This window comes from Homo sapiens, unplaced genomic scaffold, assembly GCF_000001405.40.
Source record: "Homo sapiens unplaced genomic scaffold, GRCh38.p14 Primary Assembly HSCHRUN_RANDOM_CTG6".
Lineage (NCBI taxonomy): Eukaryota > Metazoa > Chordata > Mammalia > Primates > Hominidae > Homo > Homo sapiens.
In genome coordinates, this window is record NT_167211.2 from 91743 (window position 1) to 94910 (window position 3168).

General features: G+C 35.2%; 1 pseudogene; it reads right to left on the reverse strand.

Moving 5' to 3' along the window:
* Nucleotides 1–1430: 1430 nt before the first annotated feature.
* Nucleotides 1431–1567, reverse strand: LOC124905314 (uncharacterized; annotated as a pseudogene).
* Between the last annotated feature and the right edge of the window lie 1601 nt (nt 1568–3168).

Below are 3168 nucleotides of genomic sequence, written 5' to 3' on the forward strand. Positions count from 1 at the left end.
TCAGTCTATATTGAAATATTTGGAACCAAGCTATAACACTATTGCAAACACTCACTGCATATATTCAACACATTTATTTAGATTTTCACTTATTTCCTCTTGCGGGTTTATGGTAGACTTCTTAAAGGCAAGATTAATTTCTCAGCCAGCTTTGCAACTCCTGCAAAATAAGATACAGGTCTGTGCACAAACTATGTGATCAATAAATATCTGCTGAACTCATAAACAATATACTTATAATCTATTATTACAATGTTTAGAAAAAAAAAGAAAGTTAATGAGGTATTATGAGTGAATAATAACGTCTTCAGAATAAAGGACTATTATTTTTTGGAGAGTGGGATCATCGGTCCAATACTCCACGTCAACTCTGCTGCTGGTTTGTGGCAAGGTAAAGAGCTTGCACCAGAATGTAAATCAACTAACTGCTTCCTACACTGAAGAGGTCTTGCTATTTTTAAAAAGTCAGCTGAACACTAATCAGTATGTTTAGTGACATCGCCTATTTACATTCTGGCACAAGCTCTGGATCTCACTGCAAACCAGTAAGTCTGCACTGGCCCTGATCTGCAGGCCACACTTTTCAGAATCCTGGTTCCATGCTACTAGTATATATGGACTAACAACAACAATGATGATAATTTTACCAATTAGCATTTATAGAATGATTATTGCACACCAGATGCTATGTTCAGCACTTAAGCACTTTATATGGATTATTTCATTTAAACTCTTAAGGACCTCATGAGGGTTTACTTTATTATTTCCATTTTTCAAATGAGGAAATGTAAACCTTCAGAGGTTTAATTTAAACAGCTTCTAGAAGATCATCTGTGGTAGGACAGGTGCTTAAAGTCAGGCAGTATGATCTCTGCTTAACCCCAGTTAAGTGTATAGTGTATATGCTTAACCATATATCCATACTGCTTCCTGACTATGTTATACATTGCTTCCAGACTACATTTTAAAAAATAGGCTCACGTTGCATCACTGGGGTTGAAGAAATACTTGACACTAATGGAGATGTCAGGAAGAGAGGTCTGGAAGAAATACCATAAAACTGAAAAACATGGTAAAGATAGATTTGTAAATCTTTTTATAGATTTGAAAAACATATTTCTAATACAAAGTTACAGTCAAATATTTAATACACTTTATCTCTCAAGCACGGTATGCTTTAATTGAAACAATGGACCTAATCATTACTAGGACTTTTAGAAGGTCACTTCTTTGTTTGCCTTTGTTTTAATAGCCTCAAATCTCCCAAAAATATATCCTATTTGGTTTCCAGTATAAATTTAAAGTCTTTCTGGGAAAAGATAAGGTCAAAATTCAAAATTTATTTTAAAATCCTTATTTCTAGACTTGTAACGAGTTGATTGCTTTGATTTTAAGTAAGCAAATCTAGTTAATTAGCTTTTTAAAAATAAAAAAGGTCCATTTTTAACTCAATGTTGGTTCATATCAGATACAACCAGCCTTGTATTGACAATTGGTTGAATATAAAATATTATATTAATAACAACAGATACTACAGTTGATCTTAGCCAAAAGGCCGAGAAGTGATGAATATACAGTATTGAATATTGTATTGCATATTGGTTGAATAACCAACCCTGCACAATCAAATTTTTTAAAAAGAATCCTTACATTCTAATGGTACTTAAAAAAATTTTAGGCTTGGGGCAGTGGCTCATGCCTGTAATCCAATCCTTTTGGGAGGCCAAGTGGGGAGGATAATTTGAGCCCAGGAGTTAGAGACTAGCCTGGACAACACAGTGAGACCCTGTCTCTACTAAAAAGCATATTTTTAAATGTATCTACAGAAAGTCCCCCCGAGCTCAATCAATGTTTATGTAGAGTATTAATATACCACTCCCCACAAATAAGTTTCTAAGTCAAAGGTATTGTCAGAAGTTCAAAAGACTGGACCACTCAGTGCTTTGTGATATTATTTTGATGATTTTTTGACTGCATTCCATTCCAAAAACTAATTTACTCTGAGTAGAAGCAGAGTTAATAAAGTATGCAAAAATACTAATCTGGCTTATTTAAGTAGTCTAGTGACATATCTGAGAAAAATTTTGTGTGAGATTCAATAAAAGCTGAGATTTAAAGAACAGGTTACTGCTGGTCTCCCCAAGTTAACATAGTTTACCTGAGACATACACAAAATTAACTTTTATCCATCTCTCTCTCTCTCTTTTTTTTTAAGTATTTGCTTGAGGCATAATCATAATCAACTTCTAAAGTTACATTTTACTTGATTTGTTGTCCCAAATGTAGACAAAAAATCCATAAATAGACACAGGCACAGTGGCTCATGCCTGGAATCCCAACACTTTGGAAGGCTGAGGCTGGAGGAGCCCAGGAGTTCCAGACCAGCGTAGGCAACATAGCAATACTCTGTATCTAAAAAATCTGTTTAAAAATGTTTCAAAAATATTTTTAAACATAAATATGAAGATTTCTGTTGTTAACAAAGTAATGGGTAGTCATTTTACATGAACTTTAATAAAACAATAATAGATGAACTCTGTTGTGCGTTCTATGGTGACTAGAGGAAAATATAATCATTTTGGGGAATGCCAATGCATGAACTCCTCAGGAGTAGGCACTCTTCCATTAATCCTCCCAGATTTTCAGTTCCCTTTTCTGAACACTGGTCTTTAGTCTCCGTGGGTTCTTCCACCATCAGCCCCTCCCCACAACGTAAAATGTGCATACTTCAGGGCTCTATCCTTTACCCTCTTATTCCACATAATATCCCTGGAGAAAATAATCACATTTTAACTTCAATCACTAAATGCTTAAGCCAAATTTCTATCTTCATCTCAGACTTTTTCCCTTTAGTTCCAGACCCACATGTCCAACTACTACTACTTATGGGACCTCCCAACATATATGACAGGCTTCTCAAACTGAACACATCTACCCCACTTCTTAAACTCCTCAAATTTTTTTTTTCTTCTTTAGAGTTCAATGAATAACAGAACAATCCACTCTATCACCCCACTGTCATCCCTGGCTTCTCCTTCCTCATCTCCTGTATCACCAAGATCTGCCAATTCTACCTTTTTTCGTGGCCCCTCCTTCTTATTCCCACCATCGCTCTCCTAGTTCTCTTCATTTCTTCACTGAGCTTCAACTACATCTCCAATTTTTTGT